This window comes from Homo sapiens, chromosome 17 (assembly GCF_000001405.40).
Source record: "Homo sapiens chromosome 17, GRCh38.p14 Primary Assembly".
NCBI lineage: Eukaryota > Metazoa > Chordata > Mammalia > Primates > Hominidae > Homo > Homo sapiens.
The window spans coordinates 55,601,695-55,603,044 of record NC_000017.11 but is presented as its reverse complement, the minus strand read 5'-3'; the positions used below and the strand labels follow the sequence as shown (position 1 = coordinate 55,603,044).

Sequence of the window (1,350 nt, the reverse complement as noted above, 5' to 3'; positions counted from 1 at the left end):
GCAATACTGATCGAGAATCGGATTAATTTCAGATGTTTCAACACCAACACTAGTAACAACCAACAGCAAAAAAAGAATTTCTAAAAATAGAGTAGTATTTTTAAGTATTGGGGGAAAAATGTACTTAGAGCAAGAAGTTCATATTCAGCCAAACTGTCATTTAAGTATGACAGGATGCTAAACATATTCTCAGGCATACAAATCCTCAGAGTGACACAAAAATATTCATACTGAAATAAATTTTGTATTAAGTATTTTAATTAGAATACAGAACATTCCAGGAGATGGCACAGATTTATATAAAGTAACGACCATCTAATACCTTGGTAGATTTTGATGTTACCTTAAAAAGTAGCTATAGAGTGATATCAGCAAGATGGTGGAATACGAAGCCCAAGACCTCACTCCCCAACAAAAACCTTGACTCAACAACAATACATGCTCCAAAATGCCTTTATAAGAATGCCGGAAACCAGTTAGGAAGATGCAATATCCCAGGCAAACTGAAAGCCAATAACATCTCCCCTGAAACAGGTAAGAAAAGCTATTTCATGTCAACTGCATCAGACCTTCCCCAAAGCTAGCACAGATCATGATCAAAAGGAAAACTCCAATATATAGCTTCTCTTTGGGAAATAAAAGAGAGGAGTGGAATGCACATTCAACATTTCAGCTTTTGAAGGGAATGCCTGGACTGGTTTTTGTCTTGCCTAGCACAGAGCATTGATGGGGAAACCTACATACTTTGGATTCCTGGTAGCCTCTGAGAACAAAAGAGAGCTCAACAACTTAGAAGCAGCACCAGAGAACTTGCAATACTGCAGACAGAGCCAACATAGCTCATCAAGATAGGGAGAAAGTACCAAGATCATGGCTTTTCCCATAGGAGGAAAAAAGGAGAGAAATGTGTGTCCAACCTTCTGGCTTTTGTTGGGGGCTTCCTAAGAAACTGATTTCTGTTTCACCTGGCTCAAAGCACTGATGGAAAACTGGCATATTTCAAAGTCCTGGGGGCCATTGAGAAGAGAGAGAGCTCAGTGGCTTGTGGAAGTGCCAGAAAATTGCAGTGCCATAAACATCCACCAGAGTGAGTAAGAGACTACAGCTCCTGAAAAACCAGCAAACCTATCTAATTGAGAAATAAACCCAGAGAAAATGCATCCCCAAGAAAGGTTTGAAAGACCTCTGGAACCTCCAACCAGGCTGACTGATGAATGTCTTCTTCTATGTGAAGCCAGTCCTTAAAGACTGGGAGAGGTGGTTATTTTTTTTCAAATGCAAAATCACAACAAAAATTACAAAGCACACAAACAAGGAAACATAACCCAATCAAAGAAACAAAAAAACTCC

The 1,350-nt window shown here is 39.3% G+C and overlaps 1 annotated feature.

Moving 5' to 3' along the window:
* Positions 623 to 917: a silencer, noted in NCBI's record as "tiled region #8574; HepG2 Repressive non-DNase unmatched - State 21:Repr". NCBI's record gives its function as "represses a minimal TATA promoter and a strong SV40 promoter by Sharpr-MPRA in HepG2 cells {active_cell/tissue: HepG2}" and the evidence as "EXISTENCE:reporter gene assay evidence [ECO:0000049][PMID:27701403]".